Source organism: Homo sapiens, chromosome 10, assembly GCF_000001405.40.
Source record: "Homo sapiens chromosome 10, GRCh38.p14 Primary Assembly".
NCBI lineage: Eukaryota > Metazoa > Chordata > Mammalia > Primates > Hominidae > Homo > Homo sapiens.
The window spans coordinates 89602792-89620449 of NC_000010.11; the positions used below are offsets into that span (position 1 = coordinate 89602792).

The window sequence follows — 17658 nt, forward strand, 5'->3', positions numbered from 1 at the left end:
TATATTTAAAATTCACCTGCTGTCCACTGTTGCCATGTGATGTTGAGGGCCCAGTGTTACCAGATGACCCTATTTTTCAAGAGCCAGAAATCCAAATTTTTATGTTAAATCTTCCAATTTTTAAGGGCTGACAGGTAATTTAACATTAAAAAAATACATTGCAGACCAACAAAACATGTCTGTGGGCTGAATCTGATTCCCATATTACCAATTTTATCTATATATATCCTAATGCTGATCCTATAATGAGCCTTAAATGATCAGAAATCTGAACTGCTAGATCCAGCAAATATGCAAATGAAGCTTCAGGTCATTTGAACATACTTTGTAACTAAGATATGCTGGTAAATGTTTAACAACCAGCTCTCTGAAACTAAAAGCCCTAGTTTATAGCATTTACTAATTTCCATCGTATAATCACCCCCGACCATGACCAATTTCAAGCTACCAATGTGATGTCAATAAACACATAATTGGGAAGAGATGCATACATGGACTCTTTTAACCCAGTAGGTGCTGGCTGTAGCATCCCTCTGCTTGTAACTCTCCTTAGCACTTTTGGAGAGTATCAGTTCTGCCAATTCCTAAATTATTAGGTTAAATTTAAGCCACTCCTCAAACTTAAAAACAACAAAACAAAGCTTGTCCTAAGACTCAAACTCTGTAAATAATGGAAGCTAATCAAAGACTGTATAGATCCTGGCTGTGGGACTTTAAGCAAGGAAGCTATCACTATTACCTATTTTGCAGATAAAATGCATCACTGTGGGTCAGTGGGTTAAGTTACCTACTCCTGTTCCTAAGACTAACAAGTAGGGGAAGAGGTAAAGTAGAGAAAATTTTCCAACTACAACTCTGAAAAACTAGCAATGTTATTTCTAATACCAAAGTTACTTAAGTAAGTAGGGGTACAGTGGGGTTCTCAAACTTTAAGTGCATCAGAATCACCTGGAGGGTTGGTTAAAATGCAGGCTGCTGGGCCCCAACCCCAGATAGCTTTTTCCACCCTCCATCAAATGACGAAAGGGGCCATCTATGAGTGGTCAAAGTCTCAAGCAAGAATGAAATTGAGAATGATAGTGTCTACCAAATCTTATGCTCCTGCAATATCACAAATCAGTCCTCAGATTAATAATAGGGACCAAGGTAACAGGTGTTCCTAAATGATGCTCTTAGGTTTAGACATTCCACAGATTCATAGGTGTCCTACCCGCTCCTGATGCTTTTCCATCATTATATGCTTTTTAAGACTGGTCCCTTGGAGATTTCTGGCATAAGAAAAGCCAATTCTTAAGTCCTCACACATTGAAAAAAAGTGATGAAAGCAATCAGAAACCTCTTTCTGTTGCCCTAAATTTAATGTCAACCGAATAAGACTGTTGTTATATCCTATTTGTTCAAAGGGTAGGTAATTTTTTTACTTTTAAAGTAACTAAAAGAGTTACTTCTGACTTCTAATCAATGTTAGCTTTGGACTGGACAAAACTCACAAGTGTCTACATGCATACTTCCAAGATGTTGCAGGTTGATTTCCAGACCACCTCAGTAAAGTGAATATTGCAATAAAGCAAGTCACATGAGTATTTTGGTTTCTTAGTGCATATAAAAGTTGTTTACACTGACGGGGCGGTGGCTTATGCCTGTAATCCCAGCACTTTGGGAGGCCTAGGCAGGCGGATCACTTGAGGTCAGGAGCTTGAGACCAGCCTGGCCAACATGGTAAGACCCTCGTTTCTACTAAAAATACAAAAATTAGCCAGGCATGGTCACGATGTGTCTGTAATTCCAGCTACTTGGGAGGCTGGGGTAGGAGAATCGCCTGAACCCAGGAGGCAGGTGTTGCAGTGAGCCGAGATCGCATCACTGCACTCCAGCCTGGGCACAGACTGAAACTCCGTCTCAAAAAAAAAAAAAAAAAAAAAGTTGTTTACACTATACTGTAGTCTATCAAGTGTGCAATAGCATTATGTCTTTTTTGAGACAGAGTCTTTCTCTGTCTCCCAGACTGGAGTGCAGTGGCAGTATCTCGGCTCGCTGCAAGCTCCGTCTCCCAGGTTCATGCCATTCTCCTGCTTCAGCCTCCCGAGTAGCTGGGACTACAGGTGCCTGCCACCACACCTGGCTATTTTTTTGTATTTTTTAGTAGAGACGGGGTTTCACCATGTTAGCCAGGATGGTCTCGATCTCCTGACCTTGTGATTTGCCCACCTCGGCCTCCCAAAGTGCTGGGATTACAGGTGTGAGCCACCAAGCCCAGCCTAGCATTATGTCTAAAAAAAAAAAAAAAGGACATACCTGAATTTTAAAATATATTTATTGCTAAAAAATGCGAATCATCTGAGCCTTCAGATTAGTAATCTTTTTGCTGGTGGAGGGTCTCCCCTCAATGTTGAGAGCTGCTGACTAATCAAAGCAGGGTTTGCTGAGGGTTGGGGTGGCTGTGGAAAAGTTCTTAAAATAAACAAAAATGAAGTTTGCCGCATTGGTTGACTCTTCTTTTCACAAAAGATTTCTCCACAGCATGGAATGCTGTTTCATAGCATTTTACCCACCATAGAACTTCTTTCAAAATTGGAGTCCATCCTCTCAAACTCTGCCACTGCTTTATCAACTAAGTTTATGTAATATTCTAAATCCTTTGTTGTCATTTCAACAACGTTCACAGCATCTTCACCAGAAGGAGATTCCATCTCAAGAAACCATTTTCTTTGCCCATCCATAAGAGGTAACTCTTCATTCTTTCAAGTTTTATCATGAGATTGTAGCAATTCACTCATATCTTCAGGATCTACTTCTGATTCTAGTTCTCTGGCTAGTTCTACCATATCTGCGGTTACTTTCTTCACTGACATCTTGAACTCTGTCCATGAGGCTGAAATTCACTTCTTCCAAACTCCTCCTAAAGCTATTTTATTCCCCCAACTTGAATCTGAAATGTTCTTAATGGCATCTAGAATAGTGAATCTTTTCCAGAGGTTTCTAATTGATTTTACCCAGATCCATCAAAGGAATTGTAATCTATGGCAGCTATGGCCTATGAAAAGTATTTCTTTAAAAAAAAAAAGTATTCCTTAAATAATAAAACTAGAAACTTGTAATTATTCCTTGATTTATGGGCTGCAGAATGGATATTGTATTAATAGGCATGAAAACATTAATTTCCTTTTACATCTCCATTAGAACTCTTGGGTGACTAGTTGTGTTGTCAATGAGCAGTAAAACTTTGAAAAGATTTTTTTTTCTGAGCAGTAGGTCTAAATAGTGGGCTTAAATATTTAGTAAACCATGTTATAAACAGATGTACTATCATCCATGCCTTATTGTTACATTCGTAAAGCACAGGTAGAGTAGATGTAGCATAATTCTTAAGGGCCACACGATTTTCAGAATGGTCCATGAGCGTCGGCTTCAACTTCAAGTCACCGGCTGCATTAGCCCTTAACAAGAGAGTTACCCTGTCCCTTGAAGCTTTGAAGCCAGGCATTGACTTCTGTTCTGTACTATGAAAGTCTTAGGTGGCCTCTTCTTCCAAAACAATATAAGGCTATTTCATCTATACTGGAAATCTGTTGTTTAATGCATCACCTTCATTAGTGACTTTAACTATATTTCCTGATTAGCTTGCTGCAGCTTCTACATTGCACTTAGTACTTTATCTTGCACTTTAATGTTATGGACATGGCTTCTTTCCTTAAACCTCACAAACCAACAACCTCTGCTACCTTCCCACTTTTCTTTTCATGTTTTTTTGAGACAGGGTATCACTCTGTCACCCAGGCTGGAGTGCAGTGGCACAATCATAGCTCACTGCAACCTCTGCCTCCTGGGCTCAAGCGATCCTCCCATCTCAGCCTCCTGAGTCACTGGGACTATAGGGGTGCACCACCACATCTGGCTAATTTTTGTATTTTGTGTAGAGACAGGGTTTTACCATGTTGCCCAGGTGGGTCTTGAACTACTGGGTTCAAGCGATCCACCCACCTTAGCCTCCCAAAGTGATGGGATTACAGGCATGAGCCACAGGACCCCGCCTACCTTTCAACTTTTCTTCTGCAGCTTCCTCCCCTCTCTCAGACTCTAGAGAATTGAAGAGTTAGGGCCTTGCTCTGGATTAGACTTTGGCTTAAGGGAATGTTGTGGCTGGTTTGATCTTTAATCCAGATGACTAAAAGTCTGTATCAGCCATAAATCTGTTTTTCTCTCTTATTATTTGTGTGTTCACTGGAGTAGCACTTTTAATTTCCTTCAAGAACTTTTCCTTTGCATTCACAGCTTGGCTAACCATATGGCACAAGAGGCCTAGGCTTTGGTCTGTCTCGGTTTTCACCATGCCTTTCTCACTAAGCGTAATGATTTCTAGCTTTTGATTTAAAGTGTGGGACATGGGACTCTTCCTTTGACTTGAATATTTAGAGGCCAATTAGACCAACAGTAGTACTATTAATTGGCCTAATTTCAATATTGCTGTGTCTCAGGGAATAGGGAGGCCTGAGGTAGGGAGAGAGATGGGGGGACAGCCTGTCAATGGAGCAGTCAGAACACACAACATTTATCAATTAAGTTTGCCATCTTATATGGGCATAATGTGGTGGGTGCCCCAAAACAATTACAATAGTGACATCACTGATCACAGATCACCATAACAGATACAATAATAATTAAAAAGTTTGAAATACAGCAAGAATTACCTACATGTGACACAGAGAAATGTGCGTACAAGCCATTGGAAAAGTGGTGCCAATAGACTTGCTCAATGCAGGGTTAACACAAACCTTCAATCTGTAAAAAATGCAATACAACAAGGTATGCCTGTATTGCAATGAAAAGCTATATGGGCAGAATTAATGACTTTTTAAAAATAAATTTTCTGATGTTAAAAATACCTTGCATTCTTGAGAATACGGTTGTTGAAGTTAGGAAGTGTGGTTGGGAATAAAAATACTAGAATCTGTACATAAAATATTCTGCTTGGTTATTTAAAACAAAACCCACAGAATATAGACACTGGGAATAAACACAAAATTCACTGAAACCTACAGAGCCTTGGTGCACAGCCATGCAGAGTTCTCCATCTTGAAAGCCACTTTTTAAATGGTGGGAGTTCCTCATTGGCTTATCAACATCTTAGTCTATTTGAAGTTAGGCTAAGTTTTTCTTCTGTGTTCCATTTTGATAACTCATTGATTTTGAAGGCTAGTTTTTGCCAGTCAAAAATTTGGTTATGACAATGATCCTAAACTTTTTTTTTTTTTTTTTTTGAGGTGGAGTCTGGCCTCGTCGCCCCGGCTGGAGTGCAGTGTTGCCATCTCAGCTTACTGCAAGCTCTGCCTCCTGGGTTCACGCCATTCTCCTGCCTCAGCCTCCCAAGCAGCTGGGACTACAGGCGCCCGCGACCACGCCCGGCTGATTTTTTGTATTTTTAGTAGAGGCGGGGTTTCACCGTGTTAGCCAGGATGGTCTCGATCTCCTGACCTCGTGATCCACCCACCTCGGCCCCCCAAAGTGCTGGGATTACAGGCGTGAGCCACCGCGTCTGGCCAATCCTAAAATGTTAAAAAAGAAAACAAGAAAGGAAAGAAGGAGGGGAGGGATGGTGGGAAGAAAAAAAGAAGGAAAGAAAAAGGAGGAACAAAGTGCAGACCTGTTCAACTGAGAGTATTCTACACAGGTCTAATTTAATGATTGTGTCATGGTTTATAGTTCTTTCTTGTACATTTTAAATGGAATGAAGAATAGTTACATTATCTAAGGATTCAAGTACATATACTATATATTTTTTAAAAATACTATTCAAATATAACAAGTGCTTACTATTCGGGGTCTGTTGTACATCTTTTACCTAGCCCTAATCGCTCAAATAAATCACACAGATGGATTTTTCAAACTCCTATCTGCAAAGTTGTGTTATACCAAAAACAGTGATTTTATACAATAACAATAACAGGACTTTATAGGTATGTAGATGTACTTCTGTATGATTTGTCAAATTGTTTTAATACGTACAGTAGTATATATTGATCCTTTACAATTAAGTTAGCATCTTCGATTTTCTATTCTAGAAATGAGGAGAGCTTGGATTATTAGGACACTAAGGGCCTTAGCACTCACTGCTCCATCTGCCTAACACACTCTTTCTTTGCATGATTTGCTGTCTTCTTCAGGTCTCTGCTCCAACATTGCCTAGTCACACAAAGACCCTGCCAGCACTCCCTATCTTCTTTGCCCTGGTTTTTTCCCTCCATTCATAGTAATTATCACCATCTGATATATTCCATATTCACTTTCTTTTTTGAGACAGAGTCTTACTCTGTCACCCAGGCTGGAGTGCAATGGCACGATCTCGGCTCACTGTAACCTTGATCTCCTGGGTTCAAGAGGTTCTCGTGCCTCAGCCTCCTGAGTAGCTGGGATTACAGGCGTGCGCCACCTCACCTGGCTTATTTTTGTATTTTTAGTAGAGACAGGGTTACACCATGTTGGCCAGGCTGGTTCAAACCCCTGGCCTCAAGCAATCCACCCGCCTCAACCTTCCAAAGTGCTGGGATTACAGGTGTGAGCCACTTTCGCCTGACTCTATATTCACTTTTTAAATTGATTATTGATTGTCTTCCCCCACTAGAATACAAGCTCATGGTGAGCAGGGGATTTATTTTGTTCATAACAGTACTTGGTGCACTGAAAGTGCCTGAGTGAGTGAATGAATGCTTAGGAAGGAGGATAACACCTATTCATCCTCATAACTTTGGAAAGACTCAGGCACATCACTAACATAACATCAAATGGGCTATAGGAAAAGATCTATCTGTTTCAATTCTGTCTTCACTTTGGCTGAGACTCAGCCTGGATACAGAAGGCAGTTCATAGACTCTTCTTTCACAGATGGATGCCCAACCTGGCCAGACTATTTAGCAAATGTTACATACTTGCTCCCTACTCCAGTCTATTCATTAGGCTTCAAAAGCCTGTCCAAAGGAGGAAAGGCTTCTTTATCTTGGTTGTAATGAGATGTGACTTTTCTCAACTTAGAACCTTGAGAAATACACCTGCTCATGGCCAACACATATTGAGTAACTTTCTCCCAGGGTATACGTTACCCCAGGGGAGAGATGGAGGCATTGACAGAGGTTGCATCAATCCTCTGGGTCACCTTGGTTCACTTCAGGCTCTCCAGTGGAAATGGACAGATAGGGCATCCTTGAGGGACCTGAGGAGCTCAGAGCAATGAGAGTGGATCAGCATTTCCTTCTGAATCAGAATTGAGTCCAAGTCCCAGCTCTTACCTAGGTGACACTGCTAGAAGCTTTTGATCTCTCTGGCAGCTTTAGTTTCTTATCTACGTAGCACAAGAAGGCTATACTTTCTCACCTCCAGAGGTCACTTTCAGTTCTGAAGTCTTACTCCCACCTCTTTGCAGATGACAAAATGAGGCCCAGAGAAGGGACAGGTCTTGCCTAGTCACCCAGCTGATGAAATGTAGAAACAGGACTGGAGTTCAGGTTCAATGGTTTTTCCATTATGGACTGAAACTTAGTTCTCAAGCCCATGGATCTCAAACATCTCAGTTTTAAAACTCTTTGATCATGAGCCTCTTTGGTGAGAAAAGGATTCTGTGGGTCATTTAAGTAAGTGGCAAGTCAAACTCTACTGCTGGGTAATAGGAGGGGACATAGAAGAAAAAAAAAAACAAAAACTGAAGATAATTAGTCTCACTTAGGATACTATTCTAGGACTCTGTTGCCTGCCCTTACAGAAACTTACTATAATCAATGAGGTAAATGGGGTTACTTTTGATGGCACAAGTAAAATTTGCATTTATAGCTTTATTAAATACCATGAATGTGCACTGATTGATTAATGTATTCATTAATGACAGACTTTATAGCAAGACTGGATTATGTTAGTTCTGCACAAAATGGCAGTAATTTGTACTACAGGCTTTGAGAATACGTATTTTATGACTTACCTCACTATATGTTCAACTTTCTAGTAAAACTAATCCTAAAATCTCCCAACCCTTCCTTCTTCCATGTTCAATCACTTTTGTTTATCTAGCTTCCCTTCCTTTCCAAGATATATCTACATCTATTGTTTCACTTTCTTCTCACTTTATAAAATGAAGACTACACAGTACAGAGATTATTATATTGACTGTAGAAAATGAAGAAATTGGAATGCACAGATGTTAAGGGAATGCTAAAAAAAAAAGAGAGAAACATTGGACTGCATGTTACTTATCCGTATCTTCCATTTAGCTTCATTTGTTAAATCTAAATGAGCAACGTACAGTTTGTAAGTACTGCCAGTCAGGATACAGCATTATCCTTACTATATAAAATTATACTCCCTAAATGGTATTCATTAATGAAGGAATTCACTGATAAGTAATATTACAGATTTCATTTTTGTTTGTGAGCAAAACTTCTGAATGGCATTCATATGCTGAAAAAAGGCACTTGAGAGCAAATGGGTAGATAGAAGTAATCATTTTTGGTAGGATTCATAGAAGCCTTCCCATGGGTCTCTGTTTATATATGCATAAAGTTGGCATCACGATTATATAGTAAAAGTCTGTGGTCAATTCTAACTGAAATACTTCAGAAGGGATTTTAGCATCTTGTCTTTAGCGTATTACCCAGCAATAATTGTAATTGAAATGATGATGATAACTATATTGAGCACTTACTAAGTGCCAGGTACATATTATCTCATTTAATCCTACATGTAACAACCCTATGAGGTAGAAGCTGTTTTTATTCTTGTATAGGTGAGAAAACTGAGGCACAGAGCGGTGACATAAGCTTGTCCAGAGTCCCAAGGCTAGTAGTATGGTTCTTCGGTATGAGTGGCCATGATTATGGACATGTGAGAGGTTTTGATGTTTTAACAAAGACAAACCCGACCTACCATTCTGAAGTCCTCTTCGAATTTGAAAGCCCCGCCTCCTGTGGCACAGAGGGTGGTGTGAAGGCTAGAGAAGTTCTTCTCGCTGCCCATCTGAATGAACCTGTGCATAGCACAGCTGGGAAAGCGGATGAAGTGCAGGTTCCCTTTGCGTCCACACATGGTCAGGTTTTTCAGTTCCAGGTGGACGTCTCGGATCCCAGTTTTCCCATAAGCAGTATTAGAAGTCAAATACTTCCGGATGCTCTTCAGGTTCTCCACTTCCTCTTGCTCCTCTTCGGCTGTAATATCCTTCGGCTCGAAATACACCAATTTAACCAGCGTTCCACCGATGTCCATGCCAAACCATGGGAATGCTAAAGGACAGAAAGAAAGAGTGCTGCTGAATGCTATGCGTGCAAAGAAGTGTTCAGTTTTTGAATATTAAATAAGCAAAAGCAGTGGTATCATATCTACATGTGCATTTAACATTCAATTTATTTGAATTCAACTATATGTGCCTAAAAGGTGGCACAGACAGAGAAAATTTTACAATCAAAAGAGTGCCCAAGGCTCTGCTCACACACCACTGCACTCCACTCAGAATTGAGTGAGATGAGAAATAGGATTCTGCAGTTCCCTAAGGCAGTCTCAATTCCTGTGTGCTTCCTAGGGCTCAAGTATCTCACCAAGCTGAGTGTTATACTAATATTTAAAGATAGATATATATATTTTTGCATACATCCTGGATCCCAATTGCTAACTATTTTTGTCAGAATCTTTACCAAAGAAACGGATCTGCTTCAATCCTAGAGGAAAAACTGACCATGCTGGGTGTACCAAGAGATGGTATGTCGGTCTCTAACCTAGGGCGCATTTCAATGATTCCATTTTTGCTTTATGAACTGACTTTAGAAGATGTGATTCCACTGTTTTAATCTATACAGTGTATAGAAAGGGGAAAGAGAGAGGAAGTAGACTATGAGAGATGATGAGCAGACATGAAATTCTAAAAAGAACAACTCGCATTATATCTAATTTATTTCTGCATTAAACAGAGACATCCTCTCTATTCCAAATAGCCTGCTCAGAAGTTCTCAATCCGGCTGCCTTTTAGAATCAGCTGAGAAGCTTTTAATATTCAATTTCTGGCCTCCTCTCGCACATATTCTGTTTAATTCAGGCATGGCATCCAGACATGAATATCTTTTAAAAGTTCCCTAGTGGTTGCAATCTGCAGGCTTGGAAACTACTAAACCAGAGGAACCATGGCCAGGTCTGAAACACAAAGGCATGCCTCTAGGTGAAAGTATACTTAATGTGCTTGTGATGCTTATCTATGACAAAATGAATCTCCATCATGATGATTTTTTTAGTTATATAAGCTCTTTATTGTTAAGAGCTGAAAAGAGCAGAGGTGAGCTACCTAAACAGTCTGACTTTATTTAGAGACAGCCTGGAAAGTTAATGCCATGCTGTCAAATGCTCTGCAATGAACACAGAGCAAACCCAAATGGGAACCCAAAGGTTAGAGTCTTCCTTTTTATTTCCCTCACAGAATCCATTGGCAAAACCCAAAACTGTAATATTAAAACTGAATTTAAAGACTCAGGGTGCAAAAATGGCTTCCTTCCAAGTTTCTTTTATTTCAGCCCTAGAGAACATCAATATGAACCCTTGTCAAATTGTCCACACTGCCAGAAACATCAGTGGGCCCTGCAGAAGGTCTTTTTTCTAGGCACCCCTACTAGTACTTAGCTTTCAATTCAGGAGGGCTGAGGGAGGAGTGCCTAGCAGGAAACCATTTCTGTAAACAAAATCTTCTTTCCTCTGCCTCACTATTGTTATTTTGGTTATGACCCAAGATAGCTGCTTCTCACTTGTTGAGCAGGAACTCTAGCATTATAGAAATAAAATTCCAGGCCCTCAAAAGATTAAGAGCAACAAATTTCACTGACAAGACCAAGTTAACAAATGTCTTGTTTTCTTTGCAGACGTTTACAAAGCAAATTCTGCAACCAGTGTAGGTTGGGAAACTCGCTTGTCCTAGCAGGAGATGAAAAAACTGGAAACTGGTCATCCTCATTTGTTGATTCAGATCACAGATGAAGTCTGTTGGTTTATTCTCTAAAACTCACTGTCAGCATGGGCCACAGTGTAGGAGCAGCATGTTGTAATAGGTAAAGCCCCAGACTGGGATTCGGAACATCTGCTTCCCTGAAGCAGCAGACAGTAAGTAGCTCACTGTAGCTCCTTCTACCTCTTTGGATTTTAATTTCCTTATCTGTAAAAGGAATGGGTTGCATTAAAATTATCTCGAATTTCTTCCCTACTATCAACTTTCCATGAATTCCTTAAGAAATACAAAAGAAAAATTGCAAGTAACCCCAATCATAAAGTCTGACCAGAGTCTTTTTCAGTGGAGTTTTAAACTCCCTGGAAATATACTATGGCATGTTAACAAGTGCCTGGGCTATGCAACCAGTGCTGCAGTTGCCATCCATTCTCATCAGAGAGGCGAAGATGCCTACACTGGATAGGATGGGAGAAGGGTATTTTGGAACATTGCTGGGAAATATTTTGACAACATCTATTACAATTGAAAGTACACATGCATTTTTAACTCAGCAAAGCCCTTTCCTGGGCCATAAAAAAAGCACAAGTATTCCAGGATAGGCATAAGAATGTTCACCGCAGCATCTTTTACCATGCTCAAATCAAAAAACAAAAACAAAACCAAGGCAAATTGGAAACAAGATGAGTGCCCTTTAACAGGAAAACTGTCCAATAAAATGGATGACTTCCAAACTGTAGAATATTAGGCAGCTATTAAAAAGAGAGTGAGGCCAGGTGTGGTGGCTCACACCTGTAATCCTAGCACTTTGGGAGGCTGAGGCAGGCAGATCGCTTGAGTCCAGGAGTTTGAGACCAGCCTGGGCAACATGACGAAACCCCATCTCTACCAAAATACAAAAATTAGCCAGGTGTGGTGGTGCACGCCTGTAGTCCCAGCTACTTGAGAGGCTGAGGTGGGAGGATCACATGATCCAGGGAGGCAGAGGTTGCAGCGAGCCGAGATTGCACCACTGCACTCCAGCCTGGGTGACAGAGTGAGACCCCCTATCTCAAAAAAAAAAGAGTGAAATGTATTCCAGCAGGCTAGAAATATTTCCCCAATCTTCTGTTAATAAGAAAAGCAAGAAATGCCTAGAAGTGTAAACAACTTTTTAAGCCTATTTGGTTTAGGGAGAGGAAGGGAGGAAGGAAGGAAGAAGGAAGGAAGGGAGAAGAGAAGAAAGGTAGGAAGCACAATTTCTAATATGTTCATGATTATATGAGCCTGTAGAAAAGCATAGAAGGCCCCCAGTTGTTAATATTTACAGGAGTGGCAGAATGAGCAGGTTGTATAGTTGGTGGCTAGAGATCCAGGAAAAGGGATGGAGAAAATTCTACACTTAGAGCTTTCAGTAAAAGCAGATAATAAAAAAATAAGAATTACATAATAATGGAAAATAGGAGATACTTCCGCACAACAAGACCCAAACAAGCTACGTAAACCCCAGAAAACAATCTAGTTCTGTACCAGAAATGCAGAATTCACCCAGGTACAGCTGCTATCAGATTTCTGGAAGGAAGAGCCTGCACATAACCTTTTATGTGGTTGGATGTTGGTAAATACAGGTAACTGAAAAGAGGTCTCACTTTTAAAAACACTGTAGGTGACGCCTGAAGATTTTTTGTTATTCAGAACCCTGGTTCCTTCCTCCTGCTTCATCTCCTGCTCTTTCTGAAGCCATTTCAAAGTTTTTCTTGGCAACTCAACAGAACAATTGGAAAAAGTATAGAGTTTTGAAATTTCAGCTAAATGTTATATCATTAGTTTGGGTTAAGGTAGGAGAGATAAGAATTATCTTATCTCTGGGGTTTCACCACGTTGCCCAAGCTGGTCTCGAACTCCTGGACTCAAGTGATCCACCCACCTCAGCTTCTCAAAGGAACTACAGTATTAGTTTAAGTGGCAAAAGAAATTGGCTTTTCTTTACCTATGTTTATATCTTACCTCCATGAAAAATCTAATGCTCTTCTAGTCACATTTATTGCTTTTTCAGTACACTGTCTTATATTAAATGTACAATTTTATTCATCTTCCTGATATCAAGATCTGCCTAAACCTAAGCTTCCCATGCACAAGCTGTGGATGGAGACAGAAGAGAAGGGGAAGGAAGAACATCCTAGTGCAGCTATGATCCATGACTCATGTTTTCTTTACTCCAGCATACCCAGATGCTTTGATCAATTCAGTTGAACTACTAATAAGAGCTTATTCTGTGTTTGCCAAGAGGAGTGATGTTGGTTTTAGGTACAGGAAGTCTGTATTCACCCCTTACTCCTCCTTAAACCAGATGTCATTTTAAAATATTTCTAGAGTATTCATCAACAACGTACAGCAGGAAACCAGGCTCAAACTTCACAGGAAGACTTTTGCAAACAAATAAACTGACCCACTCATTCAAAATGGTTTTCACTCTGGTGAAACTGATGTTCATAAAACCAAGTGCTACAGATAAAATGGCTGTACATCCATCTTTGAGCAACAAGTTTTAAAGAATAAAAGGAATTCCTAGATAAATTTCTATACATTGCATGAGGAGACATACACAAAAATGTTCACTGCAGTGATTTGTAATAATAAAAAATGGTAACAAACTAGATGTTCATCCATATGTAAATAAAATATGACAGATTTATATGATAGAATGCTACACAGTTATGAGAATCAATTATATTTATATGCCTCAAAAGGCATTTTAGAGCTGTTTGCCTGTAGTCCCAGATTCTGAAGCAGCTGAGGCAGGAGAATCTCTTGAACTCAGGAGGTCAAGGTTGTAGTGTACTACGACTATGCCTGTGAATAGTTGCTGCACTCTGGCCTGGGCAGCAAAGCGAAAATCCATCTCTTAAAAAAAAAAGACAGGCGCGGTGGTTCACGCCTGTAATCCCAGCACTTTGGGAGGCCCAGGCAGGCGGATTTTGATGTCAGGAGTTCGAGACCAGCCTGGCCATCATAGTGAAACCCTATCTCTACTAAAAATACGAAAATTGGCCAGGCGTGCTGGTGGGCACCTGTAGTTCCAGCTACTTGGGAGGCTGAGGAAGGAGAATCGCTTGAACTCAGGAGGCGGAGGTTGCAGTGAGCCGAGATCACTCCACTGCACTCCAGCCTGGGGGACACAGTGAGACTCCATCTCAAAAAAAGAGTATCTTACTGGATAGGAACTGAAAAACAATGTTGAAGGAAAACTTTAGGGTTGAAAAAGGTGATAGATACATTGTTACTTCCAGGACAGGGCATTTAATTACAGGCATGAGACCCTCCAGAGCTTTCCCTCTGCTATGGTGATGGGAAGCATTCCAGGTAACCCACAATGAACATAGAGCATAAGCACAAAAGAAACCTTTGTTCTTTTCAACCATTGAGATTTGGATGTTGTTTGTTACTGCAAAAGATGTTGCTTGTTACTGCAAAAGAACCTGGCCTATTCCAACTGATAAAGTGAAGTGCTGCTGCACAACAACAAAATGTGGCAGTGGCTTAGAAGCCAGGCAGCAGGGAGTGAAGAAATGGATTCTGGAGACTGGCACAGCATTTGGTAAAATGATCATGTATGATAACTTGGAAGGCAGATAATACACCTAAAGAATGAGCAGATCTAGTGAAAGACTTTGAAAGTCTAATGTTAGTAGCATGTATTCATTACTATTGACTGCATTTTAAAAGGTGTAATGAAAAAAGAGAGAGATGAGCTCTCTCTGGTTTATAGATTAAAGAAAAGGGAATAGAGTCCATTAAGTTGCACTTGTATGGCTGGAAAAAGCAGCTGCTTCTCCTTCCCAACAAATAGAATGGCTACCACACCCACTGTTAACACTCTGAAAGGGTTAAGATGTCTCCAATAAAGATACAGTTGACACTGTGGCTTCTTGGTTAAATCTTTCAATTAGAATAGCTTAAGGGAAAACATGCTAAACTTGTAGCAGTCTCAACAAAGCCATTAATAAATAAAGGCATGGAAGCACAAATACAAAGGAATAAGCAAATACAAGTATGCCTAGAAGGAATTGAGGGCTTAATTCTTGGTATATGGAAATAAATTGGAATAAAATAGATGAGAAACCGATTTTCTTTTGAAAAATAATTGTACTGCCAAAGAAACTGCAATCTCACACCTAAAACAGCTGGGAAAACTGTTCAAGACCTAAAAAACCTCTGGAGCCCTCAACTCTCTAAAGTCAGGAAGCAGCTGAGAAGGCTGTTCAGGCTCCAACGCAGGCATATTCTCAGTGTTCACTTTAGATGCAATCAGAGAGTCTACTAGGAAATAAAAGATATCTCTCAAGGGGTGGAGCCAAGGGCTGAAGAGAACAATGGACTGGGAAGGCTCTTCCAGGGAGAAGAATCAGGACCCTAAAGGACCCTTCTCCACCTACAAGGCAGGGGGCCCAGAGGGATTTCAGAATTGCTTCAGCATTTTAGAATGACTGAGCACCAGTGACTGCTGGGTATCTCCCATTCACCCCCTTTCTGAATGGGAGTATAGATTAAGTTTTCCAATCTTTGTTTCACCATTATATACTAATATACAATGTGTGGGGGGGTGGTGATGAAGAGCAGATAACTTGCCACTTTTAGTTCAGAAGTCTCTAGATCAAGAGGAACCACATCCAGAGTTGATGTAGAAATGACTTTATATCATCACCTGAGTAACAGCCTAAATTAGGCATCATCCAGATACTGTGCTGGGTGAGACTTTGGGGCAGTCTCCTTTGGGGAAGGAATGAATGTATTTTGCCTGTAAGAGGGAGAGTGAGACAAATATCCGGTAACCAGAAGAGCAACCTGTGTCACTAGTGCAGCTGGCCAAATATTTCTGGTCTCTTTCTTCCAGGCCCATGGGGTCAGAATGCAACTCTTGGCCATTTTATACTTGAGCTGGGCAATGTTCCTAACCTGGCTGGTAAGTTGTGAATGGAAATGGTGTACGTCACTTTCAGGCAAGAATACTTGCCTAGAATGAGAATACTTGGCTAGTGTGAGACCCTTCCAGATTCTTTCTGTTACCTTAACCAGCAAAAATTAAGACAATTGTTCTATCACCTGGGTCTCAAAGTAAAGATGAATCAGAATGGAGCTTCCAGCCACCTTTCAATGAACTTGTGTTGTAAGAAATAAACTTTTGTTGTTTTAAGCCAGAGAGATTTGAGGGTTATTTGTTACTACAGAATAACCTTGCCTATGCTGACTAATATACCCCTAAATCAAAATCCTTCGCGGTTTTTAAAGCTGGAAAAATTCCCTCTCTAGCAGAACTATATATAGGAACTGTCATGATCACAGACAAACATGTGGTAGCTGAGTGTTAAAAAGGTATATAGGTCCTGTTATATTTATTTCTGTCTAAAAATTTCTTAAAATACAAACCAAGATTGTCTATCTGGTAGTAGTTAAAACTGAAATAAATCTGCATTTCAAATATTGTGGCAAAAACATTTTAAAACTTTATTGGCAGTTGATGTTTTAAACAAAGCCTATTTCTTGAAGGCTTTTTCAGAATTCTAGAATACTCTCTGGGGGTCATTTAGGCTTCCTGCAGTAGCTATCAAGTATACACAGTGAACTCCAAATAGCCTAAATGAGCAAAGACATGAGGTGAAAAAAACTGAAAAGATTTTCTATCAATCGAGGAAACAATTTTAAAAAGCTAAGGGAGCATGGCATGAGAAAATCAACCTCCTCTTGATTTCACAGTATAAACTAAATGTAAAATCTGAGTTTCTCTATAACCAGCTGCAGAGCCTTAAGAAGTGTTCCTGGTGAGGCACAAGTGTTCCTGGCGAGTGTTCCTGGTGAGATTCCCTAATGCCAATGTCTTCCTGAATGTAAATCAGGCACCCAAGGGCTCAAGATGAGCTTCTGTGGGCATGGATCTGACTCAGCAGCCAGTTGCTGCCATGGAGAGTAACAATTCTCTCAAGGTTCTACCAAGTTGGAGTTAGGTGTAATTACTATGAATAGGGTGCAGCAGGACTGAAATTTCTTTTTCCAATATTTGTAAAGATTTGTTAAGCAAATCAACAAGGGGGAAAATGTTTAAAGATCATGTGAGCAACAGAAAAAAAGCTTTAAACACTTCTGTTGCGGGAAGTCAGGGACCCTGAATGGAGGGACCCTGCAGCAGAAGAACATAAATTGGGAAGATTTCATGGACATTTATTAGTTCCTGAAATTAGTACTTTTATAATTTCTTATGCTTGTCTTTACTGCAATCTCTGAACATAAATTGTGAAGATTTCATGGACATTTATCACTTCCCCAATCAATACTCTTATAATTTCCTATGCGTCTTTAATCTCTTAATCTCGTCATCTTCGTAAACTGAGGATGTATATCCCCTCAGGACCCTGTGTTGATTGCGTTAACTGCACAAATTGTTTATAAAACATGTGTGTTTGAACAATATGAAATCTGGACATCCTAAAAAGGAACAGGATAACAGCGATTTTCAGGGAACAAGGGAGATAACCGTAAGGCCAAACTGCCTGCAGGGCTGGGCAGAACAGAGTCATATTTCTCTTCTTGCAGAAAGCAAATAGGAGAAATATCACTGAATTATTTTCCCAGCAAGGAATAACCCTGGGAAAGGAATGCATTCCCAGGGGGAGGTCTCTAAAATGGCCGCTCTGGGAGTGTCTGCCTTATGCAGTTGAAGATAAGGGATG

General features: G+C 40.2%; 1 protein-coding gene across 7 annotated transcripts in view; it reads right to left on the reverse strand.

The window, feature by feature from the left end:
* The window catches only part of PANK1 (pantothenate kinase 1), a 65748-nt gene that overhangs the window by 23297 nt on the left and 24793 nt on the right, over positions 1-17658 (reverse strand). For all 7 annotated transcript variants that reach the window (NM_138316.4, NM_148978.3, XM_017016334.2 and 4 more), the window contains one exon: positions 8905-9257. In NM_138316.4, the coding sequence (NP_612189.2) occupies positions 8905-9257 (353 nt within the window). The remainder of the gene's footprint in view (positions 1-8904; positions 9258-17658) is intronic.